This window comes from Homo sapiens, chromosome 22, assembly GCF_000001405.40.
Source record: "Homo sapiens chromosome 22, GRCh38.p14 Primary Assembly".
Taxonomy (NCBI): domain Eukaryota; kingdom Metazoa; phylum Chordata; class Mammalia; order Primates; family Hominidae; genus Homo; species Homo sapiens.
The window spans coordinates 31,486,097-31,507,699 of NC_000022.11; the positions used below are offsets into that span (position 1 = coordinate 31,486,097).

Sequence of the window (21,603 nt, forward strand, 5' to 3'; positions counted from 1 at the left end):
CTGTCTCTACTAAAAATACAAAAATGAGCTGGGCGTGGTGGCACATGCCTGTAATCCCAGCTACTTGGGAGGCTGAGGCAGCAGAATCACTTGAACCCCGGAGGCGGAGACTGCAGTGAGCCGAGATAGCATCATTGCACTCCAGCCTCGGCGACAAGAGCGAAACTCCGTCTCAAAAAAAAAAAAATAAAAATAAAAATAAAAATACAAAAACAAAATTAGCTGGGTGTGGCAGCGTGCACCTGTAGTCCCAGCTACTTGGGAGGCTGAGGCAGGAGAATCGCTTGAACCAGGGAGGCAGAGGTTGCAGTGAGCCGAGATTGCACCACTACACTCCAGCCTGGGCGACACAGTGAGACTCCGGCTCAAAAAAAATAATAAACAAAAAGTACTGGAAGGGGGCCAGGTGCAGTGGCTCACACGTGTAATCCCAGCACTTTGGGAGGCTGAGGCAGGTGAATCACTTGAGTTCAGGATTTCAAGACCAGCCTGGCCAACATGGCAAGATCCCGTCTCCACTAAAACTACAAAAATTAGCTGGGCATGGTGGCGCACGCCTGTAGTCCCAGCTACTTGGGAGGCTGATGCAGGATAATCACTTGAACCCAGGAGGCAGAGGCTAGTGAATCAAGATCGCACCATTGCACTCTGGTGATAGAGCGAGACTCCGTCTCAAAGAAACAAAAAAATAAGTACTGGAACGGCTGGGCGCAGTGGCTCACGCCTGTGATCCCAGCACTTTGGGAGGCCAAGGCGGGCAGATCACCTGAGGTTGGGAGTTCGAGACTAGCCTGACCAACATGGAGAAACCCCGTCTCTACTATAAAAAAAAAAAAAAAATCAGCTGGGCATGTTGACGCGTGCCTGTAATCCCAGCTACTCAGGAGGCTGAGGCAGGAGAATCACTTGAACTTAGGAGGCAGAGGTGGTGCCATTGCACTCCAGCCTGGGCAACAAGAGTAAAACTCCATCTCAAAAAAAAAAAAGTACTGGAAGATTTTCTTTTCCCTTCATTTGATGGCTTTTCTCCATTCAGAATTCACCTGTCAGCATTTTAGGAAATGAATTTAAGTTGTGAAACACTACTCAAACACTCTCAGGTTTGAGAGAAAATATATTTGGGAAGACCAAATCTGAATGTGGAAAAAGTTTTCTATCAACTTACATGCTGTCATACCAAAACAGATCATCCTAAGAGAGCAATCAACCAAGAACACTTTACACCTGAAAACATTTCTCTTACTGCAGTTCAGTTTCCTTCAGTGCTGAAAATGAGTATTAATCTGACAGTATTTGATACTTTATCAAGTAGGTAAGAGTAGTGCACCAGAACACAAACAAGAGCTGGCTTTAAAGCATTAACCAATCAGTATCCCAGGAAGCCAGGGACAATAAGCCATGTCAGAGTCAATGACTGAGGCCTGGCACAGTGGCTCACCCCTGTAATCCCAACACTTTGGGAGGCCAAGGTGGGCGGATTGCTTAAGCCCAGGAGTTTGCCTGGGCAACATGGCGAATTCCCATCTCTATAAAAAATACAAAAATTAGCCGAGCGTACTGGTGCACGCCTGTGGTCCCAGCTACTCAGGAGACTGAGATGGGAGGATGGCTTGAGCCCGGGAGGTCCAGGCTGCAGTGAGCCATGATTGCACCACTGCATTCCAGCCTCGGCGACAAAGTGACGCCCTGTCGGGTGCAAAAAAAAAAAAAAAAAAAAGAAAAATCCATACTAAGGAAATATATGGATGTGTGCCCAACTAGGATATAACCCTTCTTGTCATCAGTGGTCCCAACTGCTTCAACACTGTTGAGCAAGTTTTATGGGATCCAGCCTGACACATTTCAGGGACCCAGAAATGAATTTACAATTTGAGTCCTGTCAACCTCTTCAAAAACATTCAGTAGCCAACAAGACATGTACTGATGCAAGATCTTTAATAAATATGACTTCCTCTCTCTCCCAAAAGCAGTTATCTGGACAAGCAGTTTAAGCATCTCCAGTTTTTAGCTAGGGGAAATATGACTGAAGCCTTACTTTTTTGAGTCCATATCCAATTTGTAATAGAAAATAAAAAAACAGGATTGAAAAGCCAGTTACCCATGAAAAGCACACTCAAGAGCATTCCTATGGGGAGTCTGCCTCTTAAGGAAACATCAATACAGAGGACACTAACTTTGTAACGCATCCTAGGGCTTTAATCCTCACAGTACAGTATGTAAATCAATAAACGTACCAATTACATAGCTGTTACAGAACTTACAAAGTATACTGATCCGCAATTTTAAAAAAATCTAAGCCTACATTCCCTTCACCTAAAAGCCTCTCAAAGCAAATTCCAGCTTAAACGCTGGGTATCTACACTTGCAGAAAAATGTTCAAAGTAATGCACTACTAAATTTAGTTAATATTTAGTCCATGTAGTGAGTCAGAATGAGATTACCACTTAATAGGAATGAAATAGTTATACAATGTTACTAACTTCGCCACCTAAAAAGAAACACTATTTCATTAGTGGCAAACCTTACTTTTGTATAGCGATGGGGGCATTTGGAGGCAGGAGGCTTCTTCAGGTCAAGGAAAGCATCTCCACTTTCTGTTTCACCCATACTTCTCCTATCCATGGCTCCTTGGTCTACAATGCTCTGCACCTGGAAGATAAATCGGCACAAAATTGTCACCGAGAACAGTAAGTTTTCAGAAATCTTGGCTGTTTCTTCAGAAGCTGAAACTTTTTAATCTCTCAAAACAGCTAGTGTTAAAAACAAGTCCCCACCCCAAAATTATGCTATAAATTAGAACTTGGAGATAGAATCATTGGTACTCAGTTCTCTTTCCTAGTATCCTAAGCATCAACATGGTAAAAAGTAGAAGGTGCCCAATTCAAGGTATATAACCTTTAAGCAGCTTTAACACAAGAGAAACCAAGATTAGTAGCTGCCACCCATGGGGATCTTTCAAGACTGGTGGGGAAGTTTCCCGGAGTGGGGGCAGGTAGAAGACTGGTTAGGCTGGGAACCCGCGAAGTCTGTTGGAAAGTGCCTGTCACTTGCCAATGGACGGCGCCAGCTGCCCCTTGTTATCCGGCGATCAGGGACTGGGGACGGGGCCCGAGCGCCCCTCGCCAGGCCAGCCGCACCTGTGGCCATGTCAGGGGCGCCGATGGCAAGGAAAGGGCGAGCACCGGCTTCAGCTCCGAAACTTGGCTTCCCCGGGCCGCGACCCCAACCCGCAGCCCCTCACGCAGGCCCGGGCCCAGCGGCCTCCTTCGGAGGAAGGGCGGAGACCGTACTCACTGAGGGGCGGCCGGCCGCAGGGAGGAGGGAGGCCGAATCTCCCGGCCCGGGCGCTTCAAGCTGGAGCTAGCGCAGGCCCGCAGCCGTCCTCCCCGGCCCGGCGGCTCGGTCCCCGCCAGCCAGCCCGCCGGCTACCCGCCGGCCGCCTTGCGGGCCTCGCGCCCCTGCCCACCCCCTGCGGGCGCCCCGGCGCCCGCGCTCACGCACGCGACCCCGGGAGCAATGCGCCCGCGCCCCTTCTACACCCGGGAGCACCGGGCGCGCGGTGCCCCGGACCCAGCCGCCACCGCCGCCGACCCTTACTCGGTGCCTCCGCCGCTCGGCGGCCCTTTGCCTCGGCCGCCGCTCCCCTCCCCGCTGCCCGCACCGGTCCCAGCGCCGCTCCCCGCAGCCTTCGCTCTCGCGCCCCCACCCCGACCGGCTTGGGCTGTCTCTCTTCAGCCGCCGTAACTGCAGCCCGGCCCTCCGCCCCTCCTCTTCGGCCCCCTCCCCCTTAATAACTCCCTCCACGCACCCTGGCCCCGGCGCCGCCTTCCCCGCCGCGCGCCCGGATGTGAGGTGGCTGCAGCGGTGCCGGGCGAAAAAGAAGCATCGCCGCGCGCTTCCCGGACGCCAGCCCCTGCGCGGGCCGGGGGGTGGGAAGGTGGTGGCGGCGAGGAGGAGGCCACGGTGGGGATAGCGGAAACCCGCTCCCGTGCGCGCAGGCGGTCGCCGTGGGCAGCCCAGAGGCCACCGCCGCCGCGTTCCCACGCGCGCTGCAGGGCAGAGCGGACGGCACTTGGGACCCGCGACTCGCGGCACGCCACTCTCCCGGAGGCGGTGGCTAGATGGGGCTGGGCTGGCGGCTAGCACGGCCTGTGGCGCGACGACCGCTGTATTTGCATGGTTCGCATAGGCAGAGAACCGTGGGGCTTCGGCAGTGGGAATTTGAGATAGGAGATTGGGGTCTTCCGAGCCTTCCCAGTGCGGGTTCGAACCTCAGCTGTTTTGCGAGTGGCGTGATCTTAGGCAAAGCTGACTTAACCTAAGTTTCGGTCGTGTTTCTAAAATGGCCTCTGTAAATCTATGAGGCTTATGCGCGAGTACTGGTTGCTGCATTAAAAGACAAACTTGTCACGATTGGCTTTGATAGCGATAAAGGCGACTAACAAATTCATTGAAATGTTGTTTCCCTCCGGTAACCTGAATCTGTCCTTAGCCTGCACAGAAAGGGGAAGTGCGAGTGGAGTTGGGGAAATGAGACGGCGAATGTCAAGTGCTTACCACGTAGTGCAGACTCAGGCTGACAGGGGGCCACAGAAATGCAAATATGTGAGCAGTGTGGGTAACTGCATCCTGGGGAGGAAGTCCTATGTGCTGGAATACCACAAGCACCCATTTCTGCCCTGTGGTACTGCGCAGCGTTGGTGTGAAGCGATACATAGGCGTGAAGTCCCGAGAACGCAATTTTCCTGGTTAAAGGACAGCAACGTCTACATTTCTTCCAAGAGGCCTACTTTGTTGGAACTTCACTTCACTTGTGAAATTAGGGTGTTGGGCAGTGAGTGACCACTAACTCAGCTCCCTTCTTGTGAATCTTGGCAACAGAAAACTTTTCGTTTGTATTACTGAATAAAGTGTGTTTCTTACAAACTGTTTTTTTACAGGCAAGAGGCAGAGGGAAACACTTGCACATCAGGCCTGAGTTTGCATTCTCATCTCTGCCACCTCCTACAAGCTATGGAGAGTTAGTCTATTGATTCTTAGTTTTACCTGTGAAATTGCGAAGATGATATAACCTGCTCATGGGGCAGTTAAGATTAAACAGGATAAGGTGGGTAAAAAACCATATATAACCCATAAAGCTGCTGAGCCTTTTTAAGCCTATACAGAGACACGTTGCAGGTGATAATACAGATGTTATTATTTTAACAATCAAGCTGTTTTTGGAATCCAAATTCTTCCTAAAGCTGTGGGAAACAGGTCTAATCCCCTTTAGTGTCTTGGAGACTCCCTGGAGTAGTGGAGAAGGCCCGTTCTTTGAAGCTGCTAAATCCTGACCCTGCCAATTAGTGTGAAACCTGAGCCAGGCATTTCACCACCTGGATCTCCCTTTCCTCATTTTTCCGAAAGGGATCGCAGTATACCTACTTTTTAGGCTTGCAGAGGGAATTAAAGATAACATTAAAAACACTGCTCTGGTTATTTTATTTTGGGGGTGATGAAGTCTTGCTCTGTCATCCAGGCTGGAAAGCAATGGCACAATCATAGCTCACTGCTCCAGCCTCAGCCTCCCAAATAGCTGGGACTACAGGCTCCTGCCACTACAGCAGGCTAATTTTTAACGATTTTTTGCAGAGACGGGATCTTGCTATGTTGCTCAGGCTGGTCTCAAATTCCTGGCCTCAAGTGATCCTCCTGCCTCAGCCTCCAAAAGCACTGGGATTACAGGCATGAGCCACCACACCTGAGCTTTCTTGAAAAAGAAAATACTAGAAACCCGGAAATTATGGATTTCTGGTTACCTACTGTTACGTAACAAACCACCCCAGAATTCCAATTATATTTTGCTCTCAAATCTGCAAAATGGGCTGGTTCCTGCTGGGACGGCTGGTTTCTGATCCATTCAGCACCAGTGGGGGCAGCCCAAAGGCTGGGGCTGAGGGTCCCGTAAAAGCGTACATGTCTGGTGGTTGATGGTGGCTGTCAGCTAGGACCTGGGACCATTAGAGCTGTCCCTGGAACACTTACACATGGCCTCTCCCTGTGTCTGAGCTTCCTTGAAATATCAGGGCTGGATTCTAAGGGCAAGTGTTCAGAGAGCGAACAAGAAAGCCATATAGTTGCTGTATTGCCTTTCCTAACCTAGCCCTGGAATCAGTTCTACCACGTGCCACATTCTGTTCCTTAGAAAGGAGTCAGCACGGCTACCCTATATTCAAAGCAAAGGAACTTAGACTCCACCTCTATGTGGGAGGAATGTCAAGGAATGTGTAGGCATGTTTTAAACCACCACAAGCCATACATGATATCAGTGCCCAGGGCATTGTAGCTATCATGATTTGATAGCTGGAACTAATTTCCTGAGCCCTCTGGTCTATCCTACTTAGGACCTACTTTTCCACTAGGCTCCTTTAATGTCTTGTAGAACTTTGGCCTCAACTCATTTCTTACCTCTCAAAGTCTCACTCTGTCCTTATAGAAGAAGATGGTTATTACCTAGGAAAAAAGGTAATAATCTAAGGGAGGCTTCCCTAAACTTCTTTCACCTGTGCCTGGCAAAAGCTAGATGCTTACAAATTGCAAATTCTTGTTTCATTGTAGTTTTTGAGTGTTACTCTCCTTGGCAGGATAATTTTTATTTTTATTTTTTATTTTTTGAGAAGGAGTCTCGCTGTATCGCCCAGGCTGGAGTGCAATGGTGTGATCTTGGTTCACTGCAACCTCTGCCTCCCAGGTTCAAGTGATTCTCCTGCCTCAGCCTCCTGAGTAGCTGGGATTACAGGCGCATGCCACCACGCCCAGCTAATTTTTGTATTTTTAGTAGAGACAGGATTTCACCATGTTGGTCAGGCTGGTCTCAAACTCCTGACCTCATGATCCGCCCACCTCGGCCTCCCAAAGTGCTGGGATTACAGGCATGAGCTACCACGCCCGGCCTGATAATTTGTAATTTTTTTTTGAGACGGAGTCTCGCTCTGTCGTCCAGGCTGGAGTGCAGTAGCGTAATCTCGGCTCACTGCAAGCTCTGCCCCCTGGGTTCAGGCCATTCTGCCTCAGCCTCCCGAGTAGCTGGGACTACAGGCGCCCGCCACCACGCCCGGCTAAATTTTTTATTTTTAGTAGAGACAGGGTTTCACCACGTTAGCCAGGATGGTCTCGATCTCCTGACTTCATGATCCACCCGCCTTGGCCTCCCAAAGTGTTGTGATTACAGGTGTGAGCCACCGCGCCTGGCCTATAACTTGTAATTTTTTGAGACCAAGTTTTGCTCTGTCGCCCAGGCTAGAGTGCAGTGGCACAATCGGCTCACTCAACCTCTGCCTCCTGAGTTCAAGCAATTCTCATGCCTCAGCCTCCCAAGAAGCTGGGACTACAGGCCTGTGCCACCACACCTGGCTAACTTTTGTATTTTTAGTAGAGATGGGGTTTCACCATGTTGGCCAGGCTGGTCTGAACTCCTGACCTCACGTGATCCCCCAACCTTGGGTTCCGAAAGTGCTGGGTGTGAGCCATCGTGCCAGGCCAATAATTTGTAATTCTAAATGCCCCCTTCTGCAACTAATAACCAATTTTCAAGTATCAGCTTGGGAAAGCTCTTTGAGAGAGAAATTATTCTAGTTCTTTACTAAATATGTGTAAGATCTTGGTTTAGGTCTAAATTGTTGGCCCAAAGTTTGGCATAAGGGGTCTCAAAGGTTCAGTCAGTCGGGGAAATTAGCAGTCCAAGAACAGCAGAGAAGCAAATGAAAATACCAGAAACTGGCCGGACATGGTGGCTCATGCCTGTGATCCTAGCACTTTGGGAGGCTAAGGTGGGAGGATCACTTGAGATCAGGAATTCTAGACCAGCCTGGCCAACGTGACCAAACCCCGTCTCTACTAAAAATACAAAATTAGCTGGGCGTGGTAGCATATGCCTGTAATCCCAGCTACTTGGGTGGCTGAGCTAGGAAAATTGCTTGAACCTGAGAGGCGGAGGTTGCAGTGAGCCGAGATCGCGCCACTGCACTCCAGCCTGGGTGACAAAAGTGAAACTGTCTCAAAAAAAAAAAAAAAAGAAAAAAGAAAATACTAGAAACCCAGAAATTATGAGAGCACCTGTGAGAGAGTTTAATGCCAGGCCATGACCTTTCAGCAGCCTCATCACAGAAGGCTGGATTGCACCTCTCTAAATGGGCTTTTTCCTACTCAGTTTTTCTTGCTCCAAGAGTAACCCTTAGATTTTTTTTTTTTTCGAGACAGAGTCTCGCTCTGTCACCCAGGCTGGAGTGCAGTGGCAGGATCTTGGCTTACTGCAACCGCCCCCACCAGGTTCAAGCGATTCTCCTGCCCCAACCCCCCGAGTAGCCGGGATTACAGGCTCGTGACTCCACGCCTGGCTAATTTTTCTATTTTTAGTAGTAGAGATGGGGTTTCACCGTGTTGGCCAGGCTGGTCTCAAACTCCTGACCTCAAGTGATCACCCACCTTGGCCTCTCAAAGTGCTGGGATTATAGGCGTGAGCCACCGCGCCTGGTCAAATTTTTTATATTTTGTAGAGATGGGCACTATGTTGCCCAGGCTGTTCTTGAACTACTGGGCTCAGGCAATTCTCCTGGCTCAGCCTTCCAAAATGCTCAGATTACAGGTGTGAGCCACCGTGCCCAGCCTCTAAGATGTCCTTGTCCTAGCTATTATTATGTACTATTATCTTCTAATCTTTCCCAACAGGACTATTTTCATTGTAACTCAAATGGAAATGCCTTTCATCCCTCCTAAATTTGTCAAAGCTGAGGATGGTAAATGCACATAACAGGAAGAAAGCATTAGGAAATTAGCTCAAATCATCTAGAAAGAAGTGCTTATTGACTTATCCTAAATATATAATTTATATAAATTTACATAATTACATAAAAGTACTTAGGCTAAATTACAGTAAATATATTTTTGTTATACTGTTAATTACAACCTTGAAGCTTACTAAATTATTTTAAAACTACTTGGCCACATTAAGTTCAGATAAAAGTTGTCCCTAAAACATTAGCATTGATGTCCGCTAAAGTAGAACTCCCTTTAAATTATTATTATTATTATTATTGAGACAGTTTTGCTCTTGTTGCCCAGGCAAATGCAAATACACGATCTCGGCCCACTGCAACATTTGCCTCCTGGGTTCAAGCGATTCTCCTGCCTCAGCCTCCCCAGTAGCTGGGATTACAGGTGCCCACTACCACCCCCGGCTAATTTTTTAAATTTTATTTTTAGTAGAGACGAGGTTTCACCATATAAAACATAATTTAGGGCCAGGCGCGGTGGCTCATGCCTGTAATCACAGCACTTTGGGAGGCCGAGGCGGGCGGATCATCTGAGGTCAGGAGTTCGAGACACACCTGGCCAACATGGTAAAAACCGTCTCTATCAAAAAAACAAAAAAAAATTAGCCGGGCGTGGTGGCGTGCGCCTGGGAGGCTGAGGCAGGAGAAACACTTGAACCCGGGAGGTGGAGGTGGAAGTGAGCCCAGATCACGCCACTGCACTGCAGCCTGGGCTACAGAGGGAGACTCCTTCTCAAAAAATAAATAATAAATGTTTTAATTGCAAAAATTAGCATGTAGAAAATAGGGCAAAAATACAAATTGTCTGTGATGCTAAGCCCGAGACACCCAACAAGTTAATTTTCCTGTTTTTAGCGTAAAATCTTTCAAATAAATAACTACTGCTTTTAGTCTCTGCACCAGGAATCTCACGTGCTTTCAAATGTTTTACAAAGCACGTAAAAAAGTATTTGAAAAGTCCCACTTACCCCTCCCACTCCTATTTTTAAGATTATTAGGATCGGCCCAAATTTAAAAATTTAACAAAAAGAGTGCTTATTAATTACATTTTAAAATGAAGGGTTACAAAAAGAGATGAGCCTGGCATTTCTAATTCGGGGGCCTTGGGACCTCTCCCCTCCAAGTGCAAGTTGTAGCAACCTGCCGGGTCCACGCATGGGCGGGTCATACTCCACGGGTTCCGGTTTCCACTCCCTGTGAACCAAAAGCCAGAGAGGCCCACGCACGAGTCCGGAAGTGAGGGAGGGAGGACTTTCGTACGCAGCCGCCTCCCAGCTGGAACCTCATCTTTAGTGCTCGGCCGCGGGCGGCGTAACTCGGGGTTCCGCCTCGGAATACCTCCCACTTCTCTTGTCTAAGAGGAGCAGTAGCAAGCTGAGCTCAGAGCGAAGCTGGCGAGCCAAGGAGATAAAGAACCCTCGGTGGGGATGCCCAGAGGGTGCATGCTCCACGCCCCTCGAAACCGATTCTCATTGCTGCTGCTGCAAAGCAACCCGAAGTGCGCCACCTACCCGACTGAGGCTGCGCAAGCCCCGGGGTCTGGGCGGGGTGGTCCTCGTGCGCGCCGCGTCGCCGTGGAGACGAGGGCGGGCCCGCGCGAGACTGGCGTCTAGAGGCGCGCGAAGCGCTGAGGCGGGCGTGGACCGCGCGGGAGTTAAGAAGCAGGTCCCGGATCGCCGTATACCGCCGGGTTTTCTCCCAACGTCAGGCCCGATGGCTCGGCTTCCCCAGGTACGAGGCCCGGCCCTAACGTCCCCACCCTCTTCTGGGCTCGGCCTTTCCGGCAGTGAGCCCGGCAAGGACCTCAGTCGGGTTCCTCCGAGCCCGGTGAAATCTGTCCGAGCCTCCGCTTCCTCCCCTGAAAGTGCAGGTGATGTTGTCTACCTGCGGGTCTGTGGTGCGGGAATGGAGGAAGTGCGACAAGAGGGCGCAGGACGGGGCCCGGAGCCTGCCATCCTCTCCCGCCGCGTCTTCTCGGCTTCTTGTCTTCCGCCCTGGGGGCACCGCATCCTCCCAGGCGTCTAGTGCGCTCCTGGCCGGTGCTCGAGTCCACGCAATGCCCCTTAGCGTGCGCGGATCCAAATCAGGGGTTTCCTCCTCCCGGCTCCGTGGCCCAGGAGCGGAAGGGCTGGTATATGGGCGACCTTACTCCCACTGAGCCCGCAGGGAGTAACGCAGTAAACAAACCTGGAAGCCTTCCCCGCGTGGGAGGTGGGTACCTGTTTTTATGGGAGGCTGTTCAGGTTTCTTAACTGCTGTGTAGATGTGTTGTAAATATTTGTTGAATGAATGATGTGAGGGACTTGAGTACAGCCATACCTCGCTTTATTGCACTTCACAGATACCGTGTTTTTTACAAATTGAAAGTTTGTAGCAAGCAGCCCTGCACCGAGCAACTATTTTTTCAACAGCATGTGCCCACTTCCTGTCACTTACACTTTGGTAACTATCGCTATATTTCAAACTTTTTATTTCAGGTGCACCGTTACAGTGATCTGTGATCAGTGATCTTTGATGTTGTTATTGCAATTGTTTTAGGTGGCCACGAACCTCACTGGTATAAGACAGCAAACTTAAGTGTTGTGTCTGACTGCTCCACTACCTGCCAGTTCCCTGTTTCTCTCCTCCCTCTCGGTCCTCCTTGTAGCCTGAGAGGCAACAATATTGAAATTAGGCCAATTAATAGCCCCACAGTGGCCCCTAAGTGTTCAGTGAAAGGAAGAGTTCCATGTCTCTCACTTTATATCAAAAGCTAGAAATGACGAAGCTAGAAATGACGAAGCTAGAAATGCCTATGCTCTGTAAATGCAACAACAAACCCAGGATGACCACACATCTCTTTACTGAATGTCTTTACATCATATTTACAGTGTGGTTTACTGAATATTTTAAGCCTACTATCGAGACCTACTGTTCAGAAAAAAGGATTCCTTTCAAGATATTACTGGTCATTAACAAGGCACCTGGTCACCAAGGAACTCTGATGAAGATGTACAAAGAGATTAATGTTACTTTACATGTCTGCTAACACAGTATGCATTCTATAGCCCATGGTTCAAGGAGTAATTTTGACTTTCAAGTCATTATTTAAGAAATACATTTTGTGGGCTGGGCATGGTGGCTCATGCCTGTAATCCCAGCACTTTGGGAGGCCGAGGCGGGTGGATCACGAGGTCAGGAGTTTGAGACCAGCCTGGCCAACATAGTGAAACCCCGTCTCAACTAAAAAATACAAAATATTAGCCGGATGTGGTGGCGGGCACCCATAATCCCAGCTACTGGGGAGGCTGAGGCAGGAGAATCACTTGAACCCGGGAGGCGGAGCTTGCAGTGAGCCAAGATTGCGCCATTGCACTCCAGCCTGGGCGACAGAGTGATGAGACTCCATATCAAAAAAATATATATATATTTTGTGACCCCATAGCTGCCATAGGTAGTGATTCCTCTGATGGATCTGGGCAAAGTAAATTGAAAATGTTCTGGAAAGGATTTCTAGGTGCCATTAAGAACATTCATGATTTGTGGGAAGGGGTTAAAATATCAATTCCAGCCTGGCCAACTTGAAGAAACCCTGTGTCTACTAAAAATACAAAAATTAGCTGGGTGTGGTGGTGGGCGCCTGTAATCCCAGTTACTCAGGAGGCTGAGGCATGAGAATTGCTTGAACCCAGGAGGCAGAGGTTGCAGTGAGCCAAGACTGCACCACTGCACTCCAGCCTGGGCGACAGAGCAAGACTCCGTCTAAAAAAAAAAAAAATCATTAAAAGGAGTTTGAAAAAGTTGAGTCAGGCCGCCATGGATAACTGAGAGACTCAAGACCCGAGTGGAGGAAGTAACTGCAGATATGATAGAAAAATCAAGCAAACTGGAATTAGAAGGGGAGCCTAAAAATGTGACCAATTGCTGCAACCTCATGATAAAACTTGGATGGATGAGGAGTGGCTTCTTTTTTTCTTTTTTTTTTTTTTTGAGATGGAGTTTCACTCTTATTGCCCAGGCTGGAGTGCATGGCACACTCTTGACCTCCTGACCTCATGTGATCCACCTGCTTCGGCCTCCCAAAGTGCTGGGATTACAGACCTGAGCCACTACATGCCCGGCTTTGTTTTTACTTTTGTTTTCAGACAGGGTCTTGTTCTGTTGTCCAGGCTGGAGTGCAGTGGTGATCATGGCTCATTGCAGACTTGAACTTCTAGGCGAAAGTGATCCTCCTGCCTTAGCCTCCTGCCTCCTCAGTACCTGGGTGTGTAATACCATGCCTCGCTAATTTTTTTTTTGAGATGAGGGTCTTGTTAGTTGAGCAGGCTGGTCTTGAACTCCTGGTCTCAAGCAGTCCTCCTGCCTTGGCCTCCCAAAGTGCTCACCACAACCTCCGCCTCCCGGGTTCAAGTGATTCTTCTGCCTCAGCCTCCCGAGTAGCTGGGATTACAGGCATGTGTCACCACGCCTGGCTAATTTTTTGTATTTTTAGTAGAGACAGGGTTTCACTGTGTTAGCCAGGATGGTCTCCATCTCTCAGCCTCCCAAAGTGCTGGGATTACAGGTGTGAATCACCGTGCCTGGTGAAAGTGGTTTCTTGAGTTGAAATCTACACCTGGTGAAGATGCTGTGAACATTGTTGAAATGACAGCAAAGGATTTAGAGTATTACATAAACTTAGTTGACAAAGCAGTGGTAGGATTTAAGAGGATTGACTTCAATTTGAAAGATGTTCTACTGTGGGTAAAATGCTATTAAATAGCATTACATGCTATAGAGAAATCTTTGATGAAAGGAAGAGAGTCCATCGATGTGACACACATCACTATTGTCTTATTTTAAGAAATTGTCATAGCACTTTGGGAGGCTGAGGCGGGCGGATTACCTGAGGTCAGGAGTTCGAGACCAGTCTGGCCAACATGGTGAAACCCCGTCTCTACTAAAAATACAAATATTACCAGGCACGGTGGTATGCGCCTGTAGTCCCAGCTACTCCAGAGGCTGAGGCAGGAGAATCGCTTGAACCCAGGAGGCGGAGGTTGCAGTGAGCATTGCAACCACTGTGCTCCAGCCTGGGCGACAGAGTGAGACTCCATCTTAAAAAAAAAAAAAAAAAAACATTGAAAATGCCACAGTTGCCGGATGCAGTATAATCCTGCATTACAGGCTCATGCCTGTAATCCTAGCACTTTGGGTGGCTGAGGTGGGCGATCACTTGAGGTCAGTAGTTCAAGACCAGCCTGGCCAACATGGTGAAACCCTGACTCTACTAAGAATATAAAAGCCAGTTGTGGTGGCGGGCACCTGTAATCCCCACTATTTGGGAGGCTGAGGCAGGAGAATCGCTTGAACCCGGGAGCTGAGATCGCACCACAGAGTGAGACTCTGTCTCAAAAAAAAAAAAAAAAAAAGAAAAAATAAATTGCCATAGCCATTCCAACCTTCAGCAATCACTACCCTGATCAGTCAGCAGCTATTAACATGGAGGCAAGACCCTCTACTGGCAAAAATATTACAACTCACTGAAGAATCAGATAATTGTTAGCATTTTTTAGCAATAAGGTGTTTTTATTTATTTTTATTTTTATTTTTGAGACAGTTTCATCTCATCACCCACGGTGGAATGCATTGGCATGATCTTGGCTCACTGCAACCTCTGCCTCCTGGGTTCAAGCGATTCTCCTGCCTCAGCCTCCTGAGTAGCTGGAATTACAGGCACCTGCCACTACACCCAGCTAATTTTGTGTTTTTAGTAGAGACAGGGTTTTGCCATGTTGGCCAGGCTGGTCTCAAATTCCTGATCTCAGGTGATTCTCCCGCCTGGGCCTCCCAAAGTGCTGGGATTACAGGCGTGAGCCATTGTGCCTGCCCAATAAAGTGGTGTTTTTGTGTGTGTGTGTTTGTTTTGTTTTTGTTTTTTGTTTTTTTTTTTGAGTCTGAGTGTTGCTCTGTCACCCAGGCTGGAATGCAATGGCGTGATCTCGGCTTGCTACAACCTCCGTCTCCCAGGTTCAAGCAATTCTCCTGCCTCAGCCTCCTGAGTAGCTGGGATTACAGGTGCCCACCACCACCACCAGCTAATTTTTGTATTTTTAGTAGAACGGGGTTTCACCATATTGGCCAGGCTGGTCTCGAACTCCTGACCCCGTGACCCACCCACCTTGGCCTCCCAAAGTGCTGAGATTACAGGTGTGAGCCACTGTGCCCGGCCAAATATTTTTAAATTAAGGTATGTACATTAGTTTTTTAGACAATGCTATTGCACACTTAACTACAAGTGTAGACATAACTTTTTTTTTTTTTTGAGACGGAGTGTAGCTCTGTTGCCCAGGCTGGAGTGCAGTGGCGTGATCTTGGCTCACTGCAAGTTCTGCCTCCTGGGTTCACGCCATTCTCCTCCCTCAGCCTCCCGAGTAGCTGGGACTACAGGCGCCCGCCACCACGCCCGGCTAATTTTTTGTATTTTTAGTAGAGACGGGGTTTCACTGTGCTAGCCAGGATGGTCTCGATCTCCTGACCTCATGACCGCCCATCTCGGCCTCCCAAAGTGCTGGGATTACAGGCGTGAGTCACCGTGCCCAGCTGACATAACTTTTATATGAACTGGGAAATCAAAAAATTCATGTGACTGGCTTTATTTATGTGGTCTGCAGCTGAACTCTCAGTATCTCTGAGGTCTGCCTGTACTAGTCCCAGTTCCGCCACTTGTTAGCTGGGAACCTTGAGCCCTCCAGCTGTAAAATGAAGTTGATAACCACTTGCTGAGGTAGTTATATTAAAGTAGGTAGTTCATGAAAAGTGCTTAGCACTAATGCGTAGCAGAGTACCTTATCTATAGATGTTATTTTGATTATAGTCTATACATTTTTGATTGTGTGGTACTCTCAACATTTTGTTAAAACATAACATTGATAAGAAAAAATTGATTCTGGATGGGTCCACTGTCTGTCTGTAGTTGGCACATTCCTCATGCCTATGTGGGTTTTTGCCGGATGCTCTGATTTCCTCCCATGTCCCCACGATAAGCACATTAGCTTCATTGACATGTCTAAATGATCCTAGTGTCAGTGAGTGTGTGTGTGAGTGTGCAATGCCATGAATGGCTTCCTGTCCAGGGTGGCATCCCCCCTTGTGCCCTGAGCTGCCAGGATACACTCTAGCCAACCTTGACCCTGAACTGGAATAAGTGGGTAAATAATTATCTTACTTGTTCTTATGAATCTTCTGTACATATATGTATAGCTCACATTTATTTCAGTGTTTAATATTAAAAGGGTTTGGATCTTTATTTAGAAGTTTGGTGATGTTTTCTGACCAGAAATATGTTACAGGAACTTAAATCTTGTTTGTATCAACTACCTTTTATGGTAAAATTGGTCTCCTTATACATCATTTTGCTTAAAGTTGCCGTTTCCAAGAACCTATCAATGACATTAAGTGAGGACTTACTGTACTTAGTTCTAGATGAGGCTGGATGATATTCAGGTTCAATTTTTTTTTTTTTTTGAGATGGAGTTTCACGCTTGTCACCCAGGCTGGAGTGTAATGGCGTGATCTCGGCTCCTGCAGCCTCCACCTCCTGGGTTCAAGCGATTCTCCTGCCTCAGCCTCCCAAGTAGCTGGGATTACAGGCACCTGCCACCATGCCCGGCTAATTTTTGTATTTTTATTAGAGACGGGGTTTCACCATGTTGTCCAGGCTGGTCTTGAACTCCTGACCTTAGGTGATCCACCTGCCTCGGCCTCCTGAAGTCGTGGGATTACAGGCGTGAGCCACTGCGCCCGGCCAGGTTCAATTTTTTAGCAAGATTTCATCATGGGTGGTAGCACTTCATCAGTGCTTTGTTGGGTTTATTTTGGTCTCTTTTTTATTTGTTGGAGGTCTTTTCTAAATGTTTTATGATTCTCAATTGTCTGTTTATACTTAAGTGTAACTGAGAGATTATGGCCGAGCGTGGTGGGTCCCACCTGTAATCCCAGCACTTTGGGAGGCTGAGGCGGGCAGATCACTTGAGGTCAGGAATTCAAGACCAGTCTAGCTTAGCCAGGTGTGATGGTACTCAGGAGGCTGAGACAGAAGAATCGCTTGAACCCAGGAGGCAGAGTTTGCAGTGAGCCGAGATTGAGCCACTGCACTGCAGCCTGGGCAACAAAGCGAGACTCTGTCTCAAAAAAAAAAAAAAAAAAAGGTGTAACTGAGAAATTAGTTGGAAGCTCCTTGTGTCTGAGCAGGACTTGTGAGTTCAGGGGCTTCACTTTAGGGTAATCTAGGGACAAGTCTGCTTTTTCATTGATGGAGAGTAAGGCACAGGTCTCAGAATCTGGAGATGTGTTAGTTTTTATTGTTTTCTGAGAAGACTTTTCCAGTCTCCTGCCTGAGAGGTACCATCTAGCTACCAGAATTTTGGAAGCGGGACAGCAGAAGTGGCGTGAATACCCTGTCTGACAGGGTTGGAATTCTGTGTGGTCCACTTTCCTTTGGTATCCACTCTGAAGTTTTTCATTTCCTCAAACCTGTTAGGCCACTTCATTTTCCTTTCTTGTAAAACCTGTGGAAATCCCTCATGTCCTATAATCGCTTCTGTCATCTCTTTAACCTTATGGTTCGTTCCTTTGTATTCTTTGCTGCCACCTTAGAAGGTCAATCTACATGTTTAACTGGGAGTCAACACCTAATAATTTTTGTTTTTCTTGGACTGTTTTTTTTTTTTTTTTTTTTGAGATGGAGTTTCGCTCTTGTTGCCCAGGCTGGAGTACAGTGGTGCGATCTTGGCTCACTGCAACCTCCGCCTCCTAGGTACAAGTGATTCTCTTGTTTCAGCCTCCCAAGTAGCTCGGATTACAGGCATTCGCCACCATGCCAATTTTTTTTTTTTTTTTTTAAGTAGAGACAGGGTTTCACCACGTTAGTCAGGCTGGTGGCGACCTCCTGACCTCAGGTGATCCACCTGCTTCGGCCTCCCAAAGTTCTAGGATTACAGGCATGCGCCACTGTCCTCGGCCATGTTTTGTATTTGATTATCATTATATTCATTATATTCCAACTTATAAGCAAGTTTATATTCATACATGTCCTTATTGAAAGCAAACCTGTGTCCTAGTTTTTCCAGTATATGTGTATTTTATCTGTGAGGTTACAGACGTTGTTTTAGAGGCTGGAGATAGAATGGAGAGAAGATCAGATGTGATTCCTGTTTCCATGGAATTTATATTTTAGTGGGGAAGGCAGACATGTACAAATAGGTAGAATGCTGGTATAGAGTATATAACAGAAGGGAGTCCTTGACCATGAAGGACATTCCACAGGATCATTATGACAGAAACCCAAGGCGGTGACACATTGATTATAGCAGTATTTCACGAAAAATCACTATTTGAATACTCCATTTGATTTATTTATAGAAATAATCACTTATGATGACCTCTGTTACTTGGAGTGTAGTATCAGAAAAACTAGGACATCGGTTTGATGTAAGTAAGGATTATTCGTTTTGTATGGATAAACTGGCTAATTCCTTGTCTGATTGTCATTGAAATATGTGACCTTGATTATAAGGGTGACTTCATTCTTTTAGAATGAAACAACTTGTAAATGCATCACCGTTACTCAACACAGGATGTGTTCACCCTGTTAGCTTGCCTCCACCATTTACTTAAATCTTACTCTTCTGTCTTACTACTTGTATTAGTTTCCTAGGGCTGCTGTAACAAAGTACCACAAACCGGGTGGCTTAAAACTAATAGAAGTTTATTCTTTCACAGTTTTAGAGGCTAGAAGTCTGAAATCAAGGTGTCATCCTCTCCCTGAAGGCTCAGGGGAGAATCTGTTCCATGCCTTTCTCTTAGCTTCTGATGTTGCCAGCAATCTTTGGCAATTCTTGTAGATACATCACTCTAGTCTCTGCCTCTGTCATCACATTGCATTCTCCTCTTTATGTGTATCTGTCCCTGTATCTCTTCTCTTTTAAGAAAGACACAAATCGTGTTGGATTATGGGCCCACCCTACTCCCATGTGACCTCATCTTAACTTACATCTTAATTACTTCTGCAAAGACCCTGTTTTCAGATAATGTCACATTCGCAGGTAGCAGGGGTGAGGATTTCAGCAAATCTTTTTTGGGGAACACAATTCAACCCACAACACTGCTATTCCTGGCACTAAAAGAAAAATAGTAATAATAATAATAATTTAAAAAACTATGCCATAATTTATTCAGTTCCTAATGAATATTTTTGATACAAATTATCACCAATTGAAAATGAAAAATGGGCTCAGGCACAGTGGCTCACGCCTATAATCCCAGCACTTTGGGAGGCCGAGGTGGGCAGATCATTTAAGGTCAGGAGTTTAAGACCAGCCTGGCCAACATGGGGAAACCCCATCTCTACTAAAAATACAAAAAGTAGCCAGTTGTGGTGGTGCATTCCTGTAATCCCAGCTACATGGGAGGCTGAAGCAGGAGAATCGGTTGAACCCGGGAAGTGGAGGTTGCAGTGAGCCTAGATTGCACCACTGCATTCCAGCCTGGGCAACAGAGCGAGACTGTCTCGGAAAAAAAGAAAAAGAAAAAGAAAAAATGAAAACTAGGCAAGGTGCAGTGGTGCCTGTCTGTAGTCCCAGCTACTTGGGAGGCCGAGACAGGAGAATTGCTTGAGGCCAGGAGTTTGAGATTACAGTCAGCTATGAGAACACCACTGCACTCCAGCCTGAGTGACAGAGTGAGACCCTATCTCTACACACAAAAAAAGGCACTTTGGGAGGCTAAGGTGGATAGATCAGTTGAGCTCAGGAGTTTGAGACCAGCCTGAGCAATATAGCAAGACCCTGTCTCTACAAATAATAAAAAATAAGCTGAGCATGGTGGCACATACCTGTGGTCCCAGCTACTTGGGAGGCTATGGTGAGAGGACTGCTTGAGCATGGGAGGTTGAGGCTGCAGTGAGCCGTGATGGTGCCGCAGTACTTCAGCCTGGATAATAACATGAGACCCTGGGTGACAGCGTGAGAAAGAAAAAAGGCCAGGCATGGTGGCTCATGCCTGTAATCGTAACACTTTGGGAGGCTGAGGTGGGAGGATCACCTGAGCCTGAGGAGGTCGAGGCTGCAGTGAGCTGCGATTGCACTGCTGCATTCCAGCCTGGGTGACAGAGGGAAATCCTGTCTTTTTTTTTTTTTTTTCTGAGACAGAGTCTTGCTCTGTTGCCCAGGCTGCAGTGCAGTGGTGTGATCTCGGTTCACTGCAACCTGCCTCACGGGTTCAAGTGATTCTTCTGCCTCAGCCTCCTGAGTAGCTGGGATTGCAGGTGCCCACCACCATGCCTGGCTCATTTTTGTACTTTTAGTAGAGATGGAGTTTTCCCATGTTGGGCAGGCTGGTCTTGAACTCCTGACTTCAGGTGATCTGCCCGACTCAGCCTCCCAAAGGGCTGGGATTACAGGCGTGAGCCACTGTGCCTGGCCAGAAATTCTGTCTTTAAAAAAAAGAAAAGAAAGAAAATGAAAACTACACACAGTAACACTGATAACCATAAAAATTAATCTGAGGAAAAATAAGAAATCTTGGCCTCTACTGGTGTTTTTGTGAAGGGAAGTTGAAGGTGCTGAAGCATCTAGACATGAAGAAAGAACCAGGCACAACTTCTGAGTGTGGCTCGCTCTCCTCTCAGTTTCCTTCATTAGAAAATAACATTTTGCAGATGACATGATTCTGTATCTAGAAAACCCCATCGTCTCAGCCCAAAAGCTTCTTAAGCTGATAACCAACCTCAGCAAAGCCTCAGGATACAGATCAATGTGCAAAAATTGCAGACATTCCTGTACACCAACAACAGGCAAGCAGAGAACCAAATCATGAATGAATTCCTATTCACAGTTGCCACAAAAATAATAAAATACCTAGGAATACAGCTAACAAGGGAAGTGAAAGACCTCTTCAAGTAGAGCTACAAACCACTGCTCAAAGAAATCAGAGGTGACACAAACAAATGGAAAAACATTCCATGCTCATGTATAGGAAAAATCAATATCATGAAAATGGCCATACTGCCCAAAGCAATTTACAGATTCAATGCTGTTACCATTAACTACCATTGACATTCTTCACAGAATTAGAAAAAACTACTTTAAAATTCATATGGAACAAAAAAGCATGAATAGCCAGGACAATCCTAAGCAAAAAGAACAAAGCTGCAGGCATCATGCTACCCAACTTCAAACTATACTGCGAGGTTACAGTAACAAAAACAGAATGGTACTGGCACAAAAACAGAAACATAGACTAATGGAACAGAATAGAGAACCCAGAAATAAGACTGCACACCTACAACCATCTGATCTTTGACAAATGTGACCAAAACCAGCAATGGGGAAAGGAGTCCCTATTTAATAACAGGTGCTGGGAGAACTGGCTAGCCATATTCAAATATTGAAGCTGGACCCCTTCTTTACACCATATATAAAAACTAACTCAAGATGGGTTAAAGACTTAAATTTAAAACCCAAAACTATAAAAACCCTGGAAGAAAATCTAGGCAATACCATTCAAGACATAGGCACAGGCAAAGATTTCATGATGAAGATGCCAGAAGCAATTGCAACAGAATCACAAATTGACAAATTTAGTTTAATTTCTAATTAAACTAAAGCACTTCTGCACAGCAAAAGAAACTATCATCAGAGTAAACAGACAACCTACAGAATGGGAGAAAATTTTTGCACTCTGTCCATCTGACAGAGGTCTAACATCTAGCATTTACAACATTATGAGATAAAAACAGCCCCATTAAGAAGTGGGCAAACAACATGAACAGACA

At 46.9% G+C, this 21,603-nt stretch overlaps 2 protein-coding genes across 17 annotated transcripts in view, besides 10 other annotated features; one reads left to right on the plus strand and one right to left on the minus strand.

Moving 5' to 3' along the window:
- The window catches only part of EIF4ENIF1 (eukaryotic translation initiation factor 4E nuclear import factor 1), a 56,606-nt gene extending 49,134 nt beyond the window's left edge, over positions 1-7,472 (minus strand). For 5 of the 12 annotated variants that reach the window (XR_007067979.1, XR_007067978.1, NM_001164502.2 and 2 more), the window contains exons 1-2: positions 3,598-3,746; positions 2,527-2,649 (exon numbers count right to left, since the gene is read on the minus strand). Coding sequence is in view for 8 of the 12 variants with exons in the window: in NM_001164502.2 (NP_001157974.1) it covers positions 2,527-2,622 (96 nt within the window). In the remaining 4 variants the exon portion in view is untranslated. Of the gene's footprint in view, positions 1-2,526; positions 2,650-3,051; positions 3,461-3,597; positions 3,747-3,808 lie in introns of those variants that run through there. The other 7 variants (XR_007067977.1, XR_001755264.3, XM_011530280.3 and 4 more) reach the window with 4 other exon arrangements.
- Positions 3,055-3,678: an enhancer, noted in NCBI's record as "H3K27ac hESC enhancer chr22:31885137-31885760 (GRCh37/hg19 assembly coordinates)". NCBI's record gives its function as "activates a minimal SCP1, AML or CMV promoter by ChIP-STARR-seq in naive H9 embryonic stem cells {active_cell/tissue: H9 hESC(naive)}" and the evidence as "EXISTENCE:reporter gene assay evidence [ECO:0000049][PMID:30033119]".
- Positions 3,055-4,301: a biological region, named in NCBI's record as "H3K27ac hESC enhancers GRCh37_chr22:31885137-31885760 and GRCh37_chr22:31885761-31886383".
- Positions 3,131-3,420: a silencer, noted in NCBI's record as "silent region_13632". NCBI's record gives its function as "represses an Ori minimal core promoter by ATAC-STARR-seq in GM12878 lymphoblastoid cells {active_cell/tissue: GM12878}" and the evidence as "EXISTENCE:reporter gene assay evidence [ECO:0000049][PMID:35858748]".
- Positions 3,501-4,150: a silencer, noted in NCBI's record as "silent region_13633". NCBI's record gives its function as "represses an Ori minimal core promoter by ATAC-STARR-seq in GM12878 lymphoblastoid cells {active_cell/tissue: GM12878}" and the evidence as "EXISTENCE:reporter gene assay evidence [ECO:0000049][PMID:35858748]".
- Positions 3,679-4,301: an enhancer, noted in NCBI's record as "H3K27ac hESC enhancer chr22:31885761-31886383 (GRCh37/hg19 assembly coordinates)". NCBI's record gives its function as "activates a minimal SCP1, AML or CMV promoter by ChIP-STARR-seq in naive H9 embryonic stem cells {active_cell/tissue: H9 hESC(naive)}" and the evidence as "EXISTENCE:reporter gene assay evidence [ECO:0000049][PMID:30033119]".
- Positions 4,701-4,760: an enhancer, noted in NCBI's record as "active region_18858". NCBI's record gives its function as "activates an Ori minimal core promoter by ATAC-STARR-seq in GM12878 lymphoblastoid cells {active_cell/tissue: GM12878}" and the evidence as "EXISTENCE:reporter gene assay evidence [ECO:0000049][PMID:35858748]".
- Positions 8,198-8,247: an enhancer, noted in NCBI's record as "active region_18859". NCBI's record gives its function as "activates an Ori minimal core promoter by ATAC-STARR-seq in GM12878 lymphoblastoid cells {active_cell/tissue: GM12878}" and the evidence as "EXISTENCE:reporter gene assay evidence [ECO:0000049][PMID:35858748]".
- The window catches only part of SFI1 (SFI1 centrin binding protein), a 122,450-nt gene continuing 110,889 nt past the window's right edge, over positions 10,043-21,603 (plus strand). For 4 of the 5 annotated variants that reach the window (NM_001007467.3, NM_014775.4, NM_001258327.2 and 1 more), the window contains exon 1: positions 10,440-10,541. The gene's annotated coding sequence lies outside the window, so the exon portion shown is untranslated. Of the gene's footprint in view, positions 10,542-21,603 lie in introns of all 5 variants that reach the window. The other variant, NM_001258325.1, reaches the window with a different exon arrangement.
- Positions 10,282-10,501: a silencer, noted in NCBI's record as "silent region_13634". NCBI's record gives its function as "represses an Ori minimal core promoter by ATAC-STARR-seq in GM12878 lymphoblastoid cells {active_cell/tissue: GM12878}" and the evidence as "EXISTENCE:reporter gene assay evidence [ECO:0000049][PMID:35858748]".
- Positions 10,522-10,791: an enhancer, noted in NCBI's record as "active region_18860". NCBI's record gives its function as "activates an Ori minimal core promoter by ATAC-STARR-seq in GM12878 lymphoblastoid cells {active_cell/tissue: GM12878}" and the evidence as "EXISTENCE:reporter gene assay evidence [ECO:0000049][PMID:35858748]".
- Positions 11,402-11,461: a silencer, noted in NCBI's record as "silent region_13635". NCBI's record gives its function as "represses an Ori minimal core promoter by ATAC-STARR-seq in GM12878 lymphoblastoid cells {active_cell/tissue: GM12878}" and the evidence as "EXISTENCE:reporter gene assay evidence [ECO:0000049][PMID:35858748]".